The sequence below is a fragment of the Homo sapiens genome, chromosome 6 (assembly GCF_000001405.40).
Source record: "Homo sapiens chromosome 6, GRCh38.p14 Primary Assembly".
Lineage (NCBI taxonomy): Eukaryota > Metazoa > Chordata > Mammalia > Primates > Hominidae > Homo > Homo sapiens.
This window is the reverse complement of record NC_000006.12, coordinates 166936256-166952245: the sequence shown is the minus strand read 5'-3', so window position 1 is coordinate 166952245 and position 15990 is coordinate 166936256. Positions and strand designations below refer to the sequence as shown.

The 15990-nt window shown below is 47.0% G+C and overlaps 1 protein-coding gene and 1 pseudogene across 1 annotated transcript in view, besides 8 other annotated features; both read left to right on the top strand.

The window, feature by feature from the left end:
• Nucleotides 1-15990, top strand: part of RNASET2 (ribonuclease T2) — a 34438-nt gene that overhangs the window by 4305 nt on the left and 14143 nt on the right. Inside the window, exons 3-6 of the mRNA NM_003730.6 lie at nt 3621-3676; nt 5507-5564; nt 9157-9227; nt 13238-13351. Of these exons, the coding sequence (NP_003721.2) occupies nt 3621-3676; nt 5507-5564; nt 9157-9227; nt 13238-13351 (299 nt within the window). The remainder of the gene's footprint in view (nt 1-3620; nt 3677-5506; nt 5565-9156; nt 9228-13237; nt 13352-15990) is intronic.
• Nucleotides 646-1331: an enhancer, noted in NCBI's record as "H3K27ac-H3K4me1 hESC enhancer chr6:167364403-167365088 (GRCh37/hg19 assembly coordinates)". NCBI's record gives its function as "activates a minimal SCP1, AML or CMV promoter by ChIP-STARR-seq in primed H9 embryonic stem cells {active_cell/tissue: H9 hESC(primed)}" and the evidence as "EXISTENCE:reporter gene assay evidence [ECO:0000049][PMID:30033119]".
• Nucleotides 646-1724: a biological region, named in NCBI's record as "H3K27ac-H3K4me1 hESC enhancer GRCh37_chr6:167364403-167365088".
• Nucleotides 805-1724: an enhancer, noted in NCBI's record as "active region_25442". NCBI's record gives its function as "activates an Ori minimal core promoter by ATAC-STARR-seq in GM12878 lymphoblastoid cells {active_cell/tissue: GM12878}" and the evidence as "EXISTENCE:reporter gene assay evidence [ECO:0000049][PMID:35858748]".
• Nucleotides 1845-1894: an enhancer, noted in NCBI's record as "active region_25441". NCBI's record gives its function as "activates an Ori minimal core promoter by ATAC-STARR-seq in GM12878 lymphoblastoid cells {active_cell/tissue: GM12878}" and the evidence as "EXISTENCE:reporter gene assay evidence [ECO:0000049][PMID:35858748]".
• Nucleotides 2020-2705: an enhancer, noted in NCBI's record as "OCT4-NANOG-H3K27ac-H3K4me1 hESC enhancer chr6:167363029-167363714 (GRCh37/hg19 assembly coordinates)". NCBI's record gives its function as "activates a minimal SCP1, AML or CMV promoter by ChIP-STARR-seq in naive H9 embryonic stem cells {active_cell/tissue: H9 hESC(naive)}" and the evidence as "EXISTENCE:reporter gene assay evidence [ECO:0000049][PMID:30033119]".
• Nucleotides 2271-2565: a silencer, noted in NCBI's record as "tiled region #1234; K562 Repressive non-DNase unmatched - State 14:Gen5'". NCBI's record gives its function as "represses a minimal TATA promoter and a strong SV40 promoter by Sharpr-MPRA in K562 cells {active_cell/tissue: K562}" and the evidence as "EXISTENCE:reporter gene assay evidence [ECO:0000049][PMID:27701403]".
• Nucleotides 2495-2564: a silencer, noted in NCBI's record as "silent region_17783". NCBI's record gives its function as "represses an Ori minimal core promoter by ATAC-STARR-seq in GM12878 lymphoblastoid cells {active_cell/tissue: GM12878}" and the evidence as "EXISTENCE:reporter gene assay evidence [ECO:0000049][PMID:35858748]".
• On the top strand, nt 5571-9150 carry LOC105378119 (protein GVQW1-like; annotated as a pseudogene).
• Nucleotides 10851-11351: an enhancer, noted in NCBI's record as "H3K4me1 hESC enhancer chr6:167354383-167354883 (GRCh37/hg19 assembly coordinates)". NCBI's record gives its function as "activates a minimal SCP1, AML or CMV promoter by ChIP-STARR-seq in primed H9 embryonic stem cells {active_cell/tissue: H9 hESC(primed)}" and the evidence as "EXISTENCE:reporter gene assay evidence [ECO:0000049][PMID:30033119]".

Genomic DNA, 15990 nt, shown 5'->3' with positions numbered 1-15990 from the left:
TCCTGGAAGGGGAAGTTTCAACCTAGGGGTCAGAAGGGTTGGTTCCTCCTGGAAGGCTCTGAGAGAGTTTGTTCTGTTTCTCTGCTAGCTTCTAGTAAGGACCCGTGGTCCTCTGCGTTCCTGGGCTGACCCATCACCCCAATCTCTGCCTTCTCCTTCACGGTGTGTTCTCCACTTTGTGTCTCTCTGTCTCTTCTGATGAGGACACCAGTAATTGGATTTAGGGCCCACCCTAATCTGGTATCACCTTTTCTTGATGACATCTGCAAAGACCCTGTGTCCATGTAGGGTCATGTTCACAGATGGGAGGAGGGGTTAGGACAGGGATATATCTTCTGGGAGGACACGGTTCAACCCACAGCAAGCCTCAGTTTGTCTCCTCCCTCTGTGGGCGGCAAGCCACCCAGGTGCCAAGGCAAGAGACCGAGGGCATAAGCTGTTCCAGTATAATAAAGAAAATATATAAAATGAGAACAGTTATACTAGAAATAGATTATAGATATGATGATATATGAATATTATTAATCATCAGTTTGTAGCATTGCTCTTTATTCCAATATTATAATAATCCTTGCTCTACAATTACAGCCTAGGAAAAACCAGGCCATACAGAGATAGGAGCTGAAGGGGCACGGTGAGAAGTGACCAGAAGACAAGTGTGAGCCTCTGTCACGCCCGGACAGGGCCACTAGAGGGCTCTTTGGTCTAGTGGTAACACCAGTGCCTGGGAAGGCAACCATTACTTAGCTGACCTCGGTCTAGTGGTAGCGTCAGTGCCTAGGGAAGGCACCCGTTACTCAGCAGACTGGGAAAGGGAGTTAGAGCAGACTCTGCTTCACCATACCTCTTGTGGATAGGCCTCATATCAGTCAGGCCTGCCCACAGCCATCTGGAGGCCTAACCATCTCCCCGTGATGCTGTGCTTCAGCAGTCACACTGCTGTTTCACTTTCATGTTCCACCCAGTACACCTGGCTCTGCCTTCTAGATAGCAGTAGCAGAATTAGTGAAAGTACTAAAAGTCTTTGAAATGCATAGAAGAAATAATGGCGTAAGCTGGCCTCTCTCTCTCTCCGCCTCCGCTGCCATACAGGGAAGGGCCCTCTGTCCAGTGGACACGTGACTCACGTGACCTTATCAGTCATTGGAGATGACTCACACTCCTTACCCTGCCCCTTTTGCCTTGTATCCAATAAACAACAGTGCAGCCAGGCATTCGGGGCCACTACTGGTCTCCGCGTCTTGGTGGTAGTGGTCCCCTGGGCCCAGCTGTCTTTTCTTCTGTCTCTTTGTCTTGTGTCTTTATTTCTACAATCTCTCGTCTCCACACGAGGAGAAAAACCCACAGTCCCTGTAGGGCTGGTCCCTACATCCCTCCATGTATTGGACATTTTATTAACATGTCCTGTGAGTGAAGAGGACCCAAGAGCTTCCCTGCCTCCTTTGCTGTGCTTGGCACCCATGGCACTCACGGCCCTCCGGGCTGGCCCCTCATCATCTGGCTGCGTTTTGCTCCATGCCCACATCCCTTCAGTGCGTCAGTGTCCAGGCCCTTCTCATTGGAGCACCCAGAGCCAGGACACTGCCTGGATCTGCACCTCAGGGCGTACCCTGCTCGGTGTGTCAAGCTGACCCTGGTGTGCATTGCACACTTCTCAAGTGTTTGACCGTGTTGCTGAGCTAGCACCACATTCTGTCAGGAGCACGCAGGCTTTATGTTTTGCCTCTAGCACTGAGTGGTAGTGACTTTCGCTTCTACTTCCTCACTGATTTTTCTGATGACAAACGAAAATGAAATTTTGCTTATCTGGCTCAAATTATGCTCTTGCTCACTTCTGTACACGAGATTGCCCCGTTTTCAGTTTTGCAGACTTAATGTTGCGCTCCTGCTGCTGTTTCCTTGCCTTGGGTTGGGGCAGTGGACAGAAGGAGCCGGAAGCTGCCTGGCATCAACTTTCAATTGTTGGGAGTGTAGCTGGCATTCTGAGATAGGGAGGGATTGCTGGAGTCCTTGGTTCCTACGGAAGAAGGACCGTGGAGGAGGAGCTGGAACTTAAGCACTGTCTTTGACCCACACTGAAGGATCTGCCTCCAGGGCCTGAGACCAGGCTGCTCTGCATTCAGGGAGGCATTTACATGACAAAACGTGGGTGTGTCCCTGCACACTGAATGTAAATATGGGTGGAGGCACATCTTTGCCTTGAGGCTTTAGAAACAAGATTTAAAAAAAAATCTGTAGCAAAATGTCCTTGTTAAGGAGTGTATTTCCTACTGGGCAGCCATGGTGAAGGGTTCTGTTTGAGCCCAGGTGTCCTCCTAGGCAGTGAGGGCTGTCCCTGGTGCCCCCTCTGATGAGATGCTTGTGTCAAAGATGCTCAGTCTGCCTGTCGGGTTCTCAGTGTTCTGGGCTCTCCCACAGCTCCATGCAGGCAGGCCTGGGAACTGAGTGCTGTGCAGAGCCCTCAGAGCCCCGTGTGGTGCAGGCTTTGCTCTCTGCATTGCCTCCAGGAAAGGAGCCCAGCTTCTGGCTTTGAACTGGGTTCCCTGAGGGATAGAGTTGAGTGGCAGAGGTGAAGTTACAGGTTTTGGCCTCTGACCCTCTTTCTCCAGCACTGAGCAGTAAGGACTTTCTGTTCTACTTCCTCAACTGATTTTTCTGTTGACAAATGAAAATGCAGTTTCACTTATCTGGCTCAGATTATGCCCTTGATCATTTCTTTCTTTTTTTTTTTTTTTTTTTTTTTTTGAGATGGAGTCTTGCTCTATCACCCAGGCTGGAGTGCAGTGGCGCGATCTCGGCTCACTGCAAGCTCTGCCTCCCGGGTTCAAGCTATTCTCCTGCCTCAGCCTCCTGAGGAGCTGGAACTGTAGGAGCCCACCACCACACCTGGCTAATTTTTGTATTTTTAGTAGAGACAGGGTTTCACAGGTTGGCCAGGATGGTCTCGATCTCCTGACCTCATGATCTGCCCACCTCCGCCTCCCAAAGTGCTGAGATTACAGGCGTGAGCCACTGTGCCCAGCCTTTTTTTTTTTTTTTTTTTTTTGGAGACACGGTTTTTTTCTTGTCACCTAGGCTGGAGTGCAATGGCATGATCTCGGCTCACTGAGTTCAAGCAATTCTCCTGCCTCAGCCTCCTGAGTAGTAGTGACTATTAGCGCCTGCCACCACGCCCAGCTAATTTTGTATTTTTAGTAGAGATGGGGTTTCACCAGGTTGGCCAGGCTGGTCTGGAACTCCTGACCTCAGGTGATCTACCCGCCTTGGCCTCCCAAAGTGCTGGGATTACAGGCATTAGTCACTGCGCCTGGCCCATAAAAACACCTGTTTCTGTTAAGTCAAATATTTGAGGAATGGCTTAACAAAAATGGCTGTTTCTGTTAAGTCAGTTGTTTGACGTTTGGCTTAGAACATCCAGCCCTAGTGTAGCTTCCTCATGGATGTGTTGTTGTAAGCAATGTATTGTGAAGTAGCCCTGGCTTTAGCTTGTGTTATTAGTGCAGTACCTGTATCTCGTTGGCATATGTTGCAACTAGCTGCTAAATGTATTTTAATAGGGTTCCTAAGTGTATTTGAATAAACAAAGAGCCAATCATTTTCTTGTTATATTTTCTCCCTAGAAAATTCAAAACGACTGTAGAGACCCTCCGGATTACTGGACAATACATGGACTATGGCAAGTGTCTCACACAATTAAATCTTAGGCAGAAGAGGCTTGCTGACTGGGAACCCTAGCTTGAATGTGGTCTTAATATTTATTCTTGTTTTTTATTTTTAGGAGTTTATCCAATAGACTAGATTCTTATTTAAAAATATCTTTAGTCTTTCTAGCAGAACCCTGATTCTCTTGTTCTTTAATTCTGTCTTCATAGAACAATAACACTTTTTTTTTTTTTTTCTGAGACAGAGTCTTACTCTGTTGCCTAGGCTGAAGTGCAGTGGCACGATCTTGGCTCACTGCAACCTCCACCTCCCAGGTTCAAGTGATTCTCCTGCTCCAGCCTCCCAAGTAGCTGGAATTGCAGGCACGCCCCACCACACCCGGCTATTTTTTGTATTTTTAGTAGAGACAGGATTTCACCATGTTTGTCAGGCTGGTCTCGACCTCCTGACCTCAGGTGATCCATCCACCTTGGCCTCCCAAAGTGCTGGGATTACAGGTGTGAGCCACTGTGCCCAGCCAATAACACTTTTTAAAATAGTGTTTACAGATTCTCGGTACATGTCAGGGTCACTACATTTTAATTTTCTCATTTTGTTCTTCTCTTGGGGTTTATTATAAATAACTACATGAAAATACATAAATGCACGTCTCGTACACATTTCAGAGACACTCAAATTTATTATTCTGGTTTTGTCTGCGTTTTGTTCAGTTAATTCTTTTCTATGTAACATGGACATACTTGTGACGCTGAACTGTGCACATTAATCGCCCCATCTGAAGGACCCGTTTTGTCCCACTGCCTCGATGCCGGGATTGAAAAGGGCCCTTTTAGCTTAATTGGTGCCTCCTGGCTCCTTAGGAAGAGGGATTGGTGGAAAACAAGTTAAACTGGGATGTAGGTACTTGGCTTCGGGTTTCACTTTCTTCTCTGTCTGGTCAGATAACCTTGACCTCCTGTCTCTGGGGCTCCTGGCTTTGCTAGACTTTGCGTGGTGTCCTCTCCCCTGCTGTGACCAAGTGCTCTGAATGTACCTCTGCCCATCATGGCCGTTTCATTTCTGAGGCTGGAATGAAGCTTTGCAATGCTGTCCAGTCCAGCGGATAGAATCAGGCAGGTTTCACATGCTGGTCCAGCTGTTGACCCTGAAGACACTCTCCTCCCTGGCCTCTTTGGGGCTCTGAGGGGTCGGGGTCTTAGGAAGTTAGTGACCTTGTGGAGTAAGCAGCACTCAAGAGTCAGAGTTGATAAGTCCAGAATTAGATGTGTGAGGATGGAGTTAAAGTTCTAGACAGTGTAAGTGCGTTTGCTACTGAAAATGAAATGAAAATCCTACTAGCTGATCTTCTGCCATACGCCAGGCACTTTCTGACATGTTTTATCTGTCATCTCCTGGAGTCCTCCTCACCATTGAAAGGAACAGACTCTCGCTGTTCTCATGCTGGATCTGTGGTGCGGAGATTGGCCGGGGGTCAGCTTACTTAGGTCTCGGTGCTAGGGAGCAGCAGAGGTTGCCGTCAACCCAGCCGGGGCTGACCCCAGAGTCCCCGCTCCTCGGTGCTACTAGGCTATCCATTGCACTTCCTTTACTAAGCAGTGGCCTGTCTGCATTACTCCTGGACGGTTTAACACAATTTCTTTTCCCTTCTAAAGAAATTTGAACTCTGACTCCTCTTACCTGCATCTTCTTTCTTAAGCATCCTGCCTGGGATAAGGAATTCCCAATTAGAATTTCTCTTTTTATTCTTTGCAGACTTCAATGAAAGTGTTTTCTAAGGTCATGTAGAAGCCACCCCAACCAAGCCTAATATTTCTTATTTTCTCTTTTAAATTTGAATTTCCAGGCCCGATAAAAGTGAAGGATGTAATAGATCGTGGCCCTTCAATTTAGAAGAGATTAAGGTATTGACTTTTAATTATATTTCTACTGCAGAGTGTTGACCTAGATTAACTCTTTTCTTCACAAGCGTACCTTCAAAGTCATCTTTAAAATTAAGGGGTCATGAATGTATTCACCAGGATTGAGCCCTTGCTGCTGTTTTAGTAAGTATTGTTATCTCGACCCCACAAATTACACCAATTGACCTTTTCCCTCTCCTCCCCTCCCCTGCCCTGTGCCCAAGCCACTGCATGAGGGGCCTGAGCGAGGGGCTCCGACCGGAGCAAGCCCTGACACTCCCCCATGCCAGACCTGTGCAGATCCTGACGCTCGCCCGCCAGCCCCGCCTCGTCCCAGGCCCCAGGACTTCTGGGTCAGATGACCGACGTGGGAATCTGGTCGGTGTGCCATATCGCCAGGCATCTCCAGACAGCTGAGGCTCAGAGAGCACAGGCCTGGGGCCGTCCTATCTGGTGGATGGGTTTCTGAGCAGGTGGACATGCTGGGCCTTTCCAGTACAAGAGCTTGATTAAAGAAAACTCACAGGGCGGGAATTTATTAGAGATACTAGCAGAGGCGTTCCTTTGAGATACCCGTACCTTATATGTCATACGGAGTCTTCACTCACACACACGCCCTCATCTTTCCTTAGGGGTGCCAACAGTTCCTGTGTGTAACCAGTATATACCAGGGTAACTGGACCTGGACCCCAGGGAGGGGGTGGTAACTGAGGCCTTCTTTAAAACGTGTGGTAGCATTGAAGGCTTGCGGGAGTTGTGGGTCTTTCCTAGGAATGGTACATTCCCCAAGGTCATTAGTTGCAAATCCATCACAAGTTCTTTTTTTCTTTTCTTTTCTTTTTTTTTTTTTTTTTGAGACAGAGTTTTGCTCTTGTTGCCCAGGCTGGAGTGCAGTGGCGCAATCTTGGCTCACTGCAACCTCCACCTCCCGGGTTCAAGCAATTCTCCTGCCTCAGCCTCCTGAGTAGCTGGGATTACAGGCATGCGCCACCATGCCCGGCTTATTTTGTATTTTTAGTAGACATGGGGTTTCCCCATGTTGGTCAGACTGGTCTCGAACTCCTGACCTCAGGTGATCCACCTGCCTCGGCCTCCCAAAGTGCTGGGATTACAGGTGGGAGCCACCGCGCCCAGCCCACAAGTTCTAATCCATATGGAATTGTTTTCTTTTTCCTCCCCGTGAAGACCTTCAGTGGGATGAGCCAAGAGGCTGGGGACTGCCGTGAGACTTAGAAGGGACACCCCAGAGCCTGGTGCTGTCTCTAGCTCCTCACACAGACTCTCCTCCTCTCCTCCGGGACTCACTGCAGGGAATGGTTTCTGGGGAGGCGTGATGAAGAGGCCACTTCAGGATACATTGAGTTTGAAGTGCCCTTGAGACCTCCAGGGGGTGACATAGAGGATCTTCAGGGTCAGAGGAAAGGTGGCTTTAGGCATAGTTAGCATGAGGATGGTGAATCAAAATGACAGGTGTGGGGATGGACATGGGTCTGTGGACATGGATGGGTGAGGAGTCAGGGCCGACAGGTGTGGACGTGGGTGGATGAGGGGGCAGGGCTGACAGGTGTGGACGTGGATGGGTGAGGGCAGGGCTGACAGGTGTGGACGTGGGTGGGTGAGGGCAGGGCTGACAGATGTGGACGTGGGTGGGTGAGGGCAGGGCTGACAGGTGTGGACGTGGGTGGGTGAGGGCAGGGCTGACAGGTGTGGACGTGGGTGGGTGAGGGCAGGGCTGACAGGTGTGGACGTGGGTGGGTGAGGGGGCAGGGCTGACGGATGTGGGTGGGCTAAGGGGACAGCGCTGACAGGTGTGGGCCTGGTGGGCAGAGGGGACAGTGCTGGTGGAGCCCCGTGTTAACAGCCAGGTGGAAAGGGGCATGTGTGCCTGCAGCTGGGAAAGGCGGAAACCCAGGAGTGGAGAGATTTGAGAAGAGGCACCGTAGGACTGCATATCCCCGGGGGGTCCAGGACAGGAAAGCTGAAATGCTTTTTGAGTGGGGGCGTGGGTGGGTCGTGGGTCTGTGGTGGTGTGAGCCGCTGCTCCTCAGAGTAGTCCTGGCTTCCTTGTTGTGTAGCAGTAGGAACACCTTTGCATTGTCCCAAACGGAAGTAGCCCAATTTGCACACTCAATCATATCGTGCCCTAGGACATCTCGGAGAGCTGATGGGGCTGAAGCCAGCATGGTGGGGCAGGAGAGGTGGGGTGGGGGGCTGGAGGGGAAGAGGAGGGGGACAGAGCTGCGCCCACACAGGCAGGGGCTGTGGGGTAGGGGCTGAGTTACAAATGGGCTGAGAAAAGGACCCTCATATAGGGTGCTGGAAAACAGGAGAAAGGGAAGGAAAGTGAAGTTATCCGAAGTTTGTTAAGCACCTTTTTACTGACCTTTTTGGGGTTTTTTTGGTGTAGAGGGTGTGTAGAAATAGAAAAGTAAACTCCAGTTCTGTTGGATTTAGCGCGACTGGTGCCCAGGCTGCCCAGCTCACACAAGCTCTTCTCTGGGAAAAGGAGAGCTTGTCCTTTGTTTGTTTGTTTGTTTTAACTGATGGTTTCGTTTTGTTTTTTTTTAAGATGGAGTCTCACTCTGTCGCCAGGCTGGAGTGCAGTGGCGCAATCTCGGCTCACTGCAACCTCCGACTCCCTGGTTCAAGCGATTCTCCTGCCTCAGCCTCCTGAGTAGCTGGGATTACAGGCATGTGGCACCGTGCCCAGCTAATTTTTGTATTTTTAGTAGAGACAGGGTTTCACCAGGTTGGCCAGGATGGTCTCGATCTCCTGACCTCGTGATCCGCCCGCATCGGCCTCCGAAAGTGCTGGGATTACAGGCGTGAGCCACCGTGCCCGGCCAATGTTTTTAGAACAGTTATAGGTTTACAGAAAAATTGGATGGAGATTACAGACAGTTCACTCCCTTCCCCCTCAACTCTCCCAATCATTAACATCTTCTATAGTGTGTTACATTTGTTACAATTAATGAACTGATACTGATACTTTATTATTAAATAAAGTTTAGCATTAACATTAGGGTTTACTCCTGTGTTGTGCGGCTTTGGACAAATGCAGGAGAGCAAGTCCCACCCAGTGTGCTCTGGAGCAGCCGCTGGCCCTAAACCCCCTGAGCCATACCTCCCCTTCTTCCTCCCCTTGAACCCCCAAGCAACCGCGAATCTCATTCCTGTCTCTTAAGACTACCTTTTCCAAATTGTCACGTCGTTGGAATCATACAGTATGTAGCCTCTGCAGACTGGCTTCTTGCACTTAGCAATGTATGTTTGCAGTTCCTCCAGTGTCTTTTCATGACTCGACGGCTCATTGGTTTTTGTTGCTGAAAATATTCCATTGTTTGGATGTACACTTTATCCCTTCACCTATAACAGCTTGTATTTTCGTGTGCAGTTTTATGATTACTCAAATTGCACTTGTAGATATATCTTAACAAACACTTCATACAAAATAAGCATAGGATTATTTTATTCACCAAAGTATTGTTAATTAGCAGAGCTCAATTCTTTGGTGTCAGTTTATCAAATTTACCTTCTAGGTTTTGAGTTTATTATTAAGAACCTGCGTAGACTTATTTTATTTTTTAATGCATAGGATCTTTTGCCAGAAATGAGGGCATACTGGCCTGACGTAATTCACTCGTTTCCCAATCGCAGCCGCTTCTGGTAAGTCCCAGCCTCTGATTGCTGTCTTGATTACTGTCTGAGCGGGTGTGGGGAGCGTGATGAATCGCTAGAAGTGGAAACTGTGTGGGAAGCAAGATAACAGAATCTGTCTTCTGGGGCTGAGCAGTTTGAACAACCTTTTATGAGATATGATTCTGTTACGGCATTTTTGGTGCCTTTCTCCAATGTATAAAAAATTGAAAGCAAGTGGAATTTACCATATAAGCCTGTTTTCTAACCTGTATGGTATTTATTACTTTGCTTTAAAACTTTTCTCGGCCAGTCACAATGGCTCGTGCCTGTAATCCTAGCACTTTGGGAGGCTGAGGCGGGTGGATTGCTTGAGCTGAGGAGTTTGAGACCAGCCTGGTAACATGACAAAATGCCACCTCTACCAAAAATTTAAAAGGTCAGCTAGATGTGGTATTGTGCGGCTGTGGTCCCGGGAGATCAAGGTTGCAATGAGCTGTGATCAGCTGGGGTGATAACTAGCCTAGGTGACAGGGTGAGACCCTGTCTCAAAAACAAAATAAAGATACAAATTTTCTCTTCTGAGGCTTAACAAAGTCCAATGCTTGCATATCTAAGAATTAGTCCATATCAGACAGGAGAGAATATTTCTTAAGGAAATTGTGCTCCTGTCTTCAAATACATTAAGAAAAAAGAGACCAGGCACAGTGGTTCACACCTGTAATCCCAGCACTTTGGAAGGCCAAGGCAGGTGGATCACTTGAGGTCAGGAGTTCGAGACCAGCCTGGCCAACATGGCAAAACCCCATCTCTACTAAAAATACAAAAATTAGCTGGGCATGATGGCGTACGCTTGTAATCCCAGCTACTTGGGAGGCTGAGGCAGGAGAATCAATTGAATTCAGGGGATGGAGGTTGCAGTGAGCCGAGATTGCACCACTGTACTCCAGCCCGGGCAACAGGGCAAGATTCCATCTCAAAAAAAAAAAAGAAGATGTCTTCTAAAATGATGATCTCATGCCTATGACTTAGGGAGGAGAGAAAGTGAGACTTAGCATGTGAGGCTGAGACCTCAGTCATAGTGAAGCACCTTTAAGTTCAGCAGAAGCTAAGCCTAGGGCATAAACGCCATGTTGAATTCAAGATAGCTTTTAAAATCCTGGCTTTTTTAAGAACATAAAGTTAAATTCCTTGTATTAACATTATATTAACTGAAGGTAATTATTTTCTCTATCCCACTTCAATATTGCAATTTATAATTCAGATTACAACCCATCAAATTTTAGGTGGGAAGATTAACCTAGAAATATTTTTGTGTATAATTTTCAGGAAAATTAAAAGTTAAGTTTAGAAGAAAGCTTTTGAAAACAAAATGAAATGGAAGTGATGTCCCCCTTTCTGGTTCATCGGTGTGGCAGTGAAGTGGCCTTAGGATTCATGGACCCTCAGTCTGTGCGTTGAATCACCCTTGAAAATTCGGGTGGTGAATGGTTCAGGTCTCAGTCACCTGTTCTGCACAGCCTGTGTTCTAGAAAATTATTTCAAAATAATGGCCATGATAAGTTGGAATGGAAGAAGATAGGAAAAAAAATTATATGTCACTTCACAGTGTACTTCAGATGATGAGTTTATGGTAACTGAGTTATGTGAAAGAGAATTTTTCCAGTTGTTACAATGTTCCATGATAGAGTCTGTCAGATTTTAGCTAAATGGCTTAAAATAAATCAGCAAACATGCAAAGGCCTTCAGTGAGCTGGGTCTTGAGCATTTAATCAAAACAGTGTGGGCACAGTATGCATTTATTTTTGGGCTCTGATAAAGGCAAGATGACTTACTTTAAATTTTCAGGTTGATAGTTGAATTACACACTTAAAAAACTGGTTCTAAATGAAAAAGATAAATCTCACACACAAATTAATATTTATATTTTTGAGTGCTCCTAAATACAAAATATCAGCTAGGGAGGAGCTCCTGTCTGGGCTGTGTCACCCAGTCCTGTGCCTATCACTCAAGTCACCTGACTAACTCCATGGGGGTTGGCCTCTGGCTTCTCCACCTCTGCTCCTTGGGCAGGGGAAGGTGTCACAGCACTGCTGTGGAATGTGTCTTTGGGCATAACCAGCCCCGAGGACTGGCTGCCTGTTGTGGCCGAGCGGGCTGGGTGACAGTGGGTGGGTGAGCCTGGGACATCCGCTCCTGGCTGCATCTGCTCTTGGTGGGTGAGTCAGGGTGTCTCTCAGCACAGAGGGCAACACGCTGAGTCACTTCGCATTGGTGACTGACCGTTCTGATGCTTAAAAAAAAAAGGTCCAGTCCAAATGAAGTGTGAGTGAATGCTGTGAGCTCCATGAATATCAATCTATTTCCAACATCTGTTGAGTTAAGCTTGCTCCAGGAATAATGATGGCTGACATTTACTGTTTATTGTGAGCCAGGAACTGTTTTCATTCATGTGGAAGGGCTCAGCACACCTCATCTCACCTGCAGAATTACCCCTGTTTTATAGAAACTAAGTCACCTGGAATTCAGGTTACATTTCAATTAGTTTAAAATAATCTCCTTTTTCTACCTTATAGGATATAGGAAGTTATCAGGTAATTTGCTCTGGAAAGGCTTCTAGATGAAGACAGTTACTCATCCACTTTCATCGTTCCTGTTTTCAACTTTTCATCATTTTCTGAGAGTTAAATCAATAGGAATTATTTAAAACTAGTATTTTGGATGAATTTTGCCAGTGAATTAATGCACATTTAGATTGTGTTTTTAAGACTGCATATAAGTGCTTTATAAGTGGTTGCATGAATGTTATTTATTAAAACTTCATGAATTCATCACCAATAAAGCTGAGGAAATCTGATTCCCATTTTGTCTTTTCATGCTAAAGATGATAAACATCTGATGACACGCCAGTCATTCTGAAGGTGGCTGTCAATCTCGTCAGCAGTTGATTGGATGACAGCCCAGTGCAGTGGGAAGGGCGCTGACCTTGGACTTGAGCGTGGCCTTCAAGGGCAGGCTCTGAGTGACCTTCAGCAAGTCCCCTGGCCCTTCTGGGCTTCCATTCCCTGTCTGTAAACTAGCAGTGATATTTCCGCCTTGCAGAGTTTTGAGAACCAAACGAAGAACGTGAAAGATTTTTGTAAACCTTTAATCTGCAGTAAAATATCAGGAATCATTCTCAGTGACCACATTTTTCTGGAATACAAATTGCTGTTCACGTGCAGCCCTTTAGTTATAGGCTATTCAGTTGTTCTTATTGTCCTCTATGTAGAATGGATGCTTAAACTATAATTTGTAGAAGCTGAAATGGAAAATGGGCCTGAGGTGTTTCCTGGTAATTAGCTGTCCTGCCTTTCCATGGCTGGTTGCTTAGAAATGACAGTTTGTGCCACTCTGCGAAATTCCCTGACTGCAAAGCACCCACTCACTGCAGGAGACCACACGTTGCTTTGTGAATCAGTGGGGGTTGGGGCAGCAGCATGTTCTTTTTTCTCAGCTTTGATTTGTTGTTAATTGAGCAAGCTGTAATTGTAGACGTGAACTGAAACTGATTATTTAATCGTGGGGGATTGAAATAATTGCCTATGTTGCAAATAAGGAATTTTATCCTTCCTACTTTGTAAAAGAAATGACATGCCTACCACATGGGAATAGTCTGTGCTGAGAGAAAACATGCTTGAGCATTTTAATTGGGAATCAGTTTCATTACTTTTTTTTTGAGATGGAGTTTGTCTCTTGCCCAGGCTATAGTGCAATGGCATGATCTTGGCTCACTGCAACCTCTGCCTCCCGGGTTCAAGCGATTCTCCTCCTCAGCCTCCTGAGTAGCTGGGATCTCAGGCACCTGCCACCACACTCGGCTAATTTTTTTGTATTTTTAGTAGAGACAGTTTCACCATGTTGGTCAGGCTGGTCTCAAACTCCTGATCTCAGGTGATCCACCCCCTTCAGCCTCCCAAAGTGTTGGGATTACAGGCATGAGCCACTGCACGCAGCCTGTTTCACTACTTTTAAGTGGAGATTTTTCCTAATCCTCACAGGAAGCATGAGTGGGAAAAGCATGGGACCTGCGCCGCCCAGGTGGATGCGCTCAACTCCCAGAAGAAGTACTTTGGCAGAAGCCTGGAACTCTACAGGGAGCTGGACCTCAACAGGTGGGTGCGCCCTTCCCCCGGCTGCACTTCCCAGTGGGGATCTCTGCTGTCGCCCAAGCCTGACAGCTGGATCCAGGGGAGTGGGTGTAGACCTCACTGCCCTCCAGCAGCTTCTGCATGTGCACTATTCGGCTACTGGGATCATTCCTGAGGAATGTTCTGAGCCTACCAAGCCTTTCCAGATCATTCTACATCACGATCACACAGAGTGGGTGCAGAGTATTGGGATGCCCATCTGGGCACCATCTCATCATCAGAGTCGGCCATAGGGAAAACGAGGACTCCAACCAGCATGTGCCGTTCTCAGCCATGATTCCTGATAAAGGATAGTGCATTAATAAGTCGTTTCCTTAGAAAGACGGAAACTCTGGAAGTCTGTAGGTCTTTGCCGCAGAACTCCTGGAACAAGCAGGCAGGAAAGAGATGTGGGCCAGGGTTCTTTAAGCCCCAGAAATGACCCCAACCTGCCTAAATCGTCCCTGCCTGCCCTCACCTCTATTCTTGAGAAGTGGAATACGTTGTCCCACTTGAGCCAGTTGACTTGTAAAGCAAAGTGCCTTCTGAGCGCCACACCGAGCCCACTCACTGTCCGAATCTGGTTGCTAGAGAGCCAGGGTGTGCCCTTACCTCTCCGTCGGGACGTTTCAGGGTGTCAGCGTCTTAGCTGCTCTCACTGACCTTCATCATAAGAGGTCATAATAAACCAGTGAAGTCGTGAAAAACATGACAGGCAATTGCACAGCCTCTGTGTTGCTGCTTTTGGAATTCACGCAGCTTGTTTTAGAGCAATTCTCCTTCAAATCAGAATAATACCAGGAGCCTTAGCTAATCAGCTGTATTTAAGGTTTCTGAATCAAAACTGCTTAAAAGATGAATAAACCTCCATTGCTTATCTAGACATGTGCTTTGCCTCCTCAACGTACAAAATCGTCTCACACAGATGGTCTCCTGTGTCATCTGATGAAACGCAGTCTAACAGCTGCAACTTGGGTGGGATAGAGCTCAGGCACTGATAGAAGAGGGGCTTGGCACGGTTAGCGGGGATCAAGATTACATCAAAGAATGCCCTGTGAATAAACTTCTTTAAAAATCACCTCCCAGAGCGCGTGGCATTAGGTGTGCCTTTTCATCCTGGTTCTGACACTAACTAGTTGTACAATTTGTGTATCTAACCTCTAGCTCTTTTTTCCATGCTGTGAAATAAATGGATAGGTTGCCCTCAACCCTGAAGTCTCTTCCAGCTCTTAAAATCTGCACTACCAGGTATATACACTAAGAAACGTACACAGACCTATACACTTTGATTTGTATATAGTTTGTGTATATAATTTGATCTATGTAATTTAATCTTAGGTTTTTAATAAAGGAAGCATTGCTTTCTTGCAGTAAGAGCAATATTTTAGGAAACATTTTCTCACCTAACAAATGTAGCTAATTAGCTGTTCAGAAATCATTATGGGCCATGTGTGGTGGCTCATGCATGTAATCCCAGCACTTTGGGAGGCTGAGGTGGGTGCATCACCAGAGGTCAGGAGTTCAAGACCAGCTTGGCCAACATGGTGAAATCCCATCTCTACTAAAAATACAAAAATTAGCCAGGTGTGGTGGTGCATGCCTGTAATTCCAGCTACTCGGGAGGCTGAAGCAGGAGAATGGCTTGAACCCAGGAGGTGGAGGTTGCAGTGAGCTGAGATCGTGCCATTGCACTCCAGCCTGTGCGAAAAGAGCAAAACTGTCTCAAAAAAAAAAGTCATTATGAGGATTAACCAAGAGAGTGTCTTAGGTAGCTCCTGGAGCACAGGAGACTTGCAGTTAAAAAGAAAGTCTGACATTGCTGAAAGACTGGCAGGGTAGGACCCACTTTGGAGATGACAAGAAAGATGCCCTCTGTTTCAAAACAGGGGTCTCACAGTCCTGACCCTGCTGCAGAGTGCTGGTGTTTTCCAGGCTGACTCCATAAACCAGTTCATTTAATCAAACAGAGAAAGGATAAATGGATACTACTGAAAATTTTAAAATCAATCATCTAAATAATTCATCTCTGTATCCAACAAATAGTTTATTAAGTGGCTCCTACTTACACTCGTTGAAACTCAGTAGCTTTCCTGCTATGGTTTGGATGTGGTTGGTTTATCCCCACCAAATCTCATGTTGAAATTTGATCACCAGTGTGGAGGTGGGAGGTGTTTGAGCTGCGGGGAAGGATCCCTCATGAGTAGGTTAATGCCCCCTTGCAGGGGTGAGCGAGTTCCCACTCAGTTCCCCAGAGAGCTGGTTGTTAACAGGAGCCTGGCACCGCCCCCAACCCCTGGCTTCCTCTCTGGCCATGTGATCTCTGTACACACCAGCTCCCCTTTGCCTTCTGCCATGAGCGGAAGTTTCCTGAGGCCCTTGCCAGAAGCAGAATCTGGTTCCATGCTTCTCGGACAGCCTGCAGACCCCTGAGCCAAAAAAACCTCTTTTTTTAAATAAATTACCCAGCCTCAGGTATTCCTGTATAGCGACACTAGACAGACTGAGACACACACACACACACACACACACGACACATGCAAAACTCTAAGTCCTGGAGTTCCTGTGGGGATTCAGCAGAGCCCAGTGCTGCCCTGCCATTGCTGTAGATGGGAATGGTGCGTCCT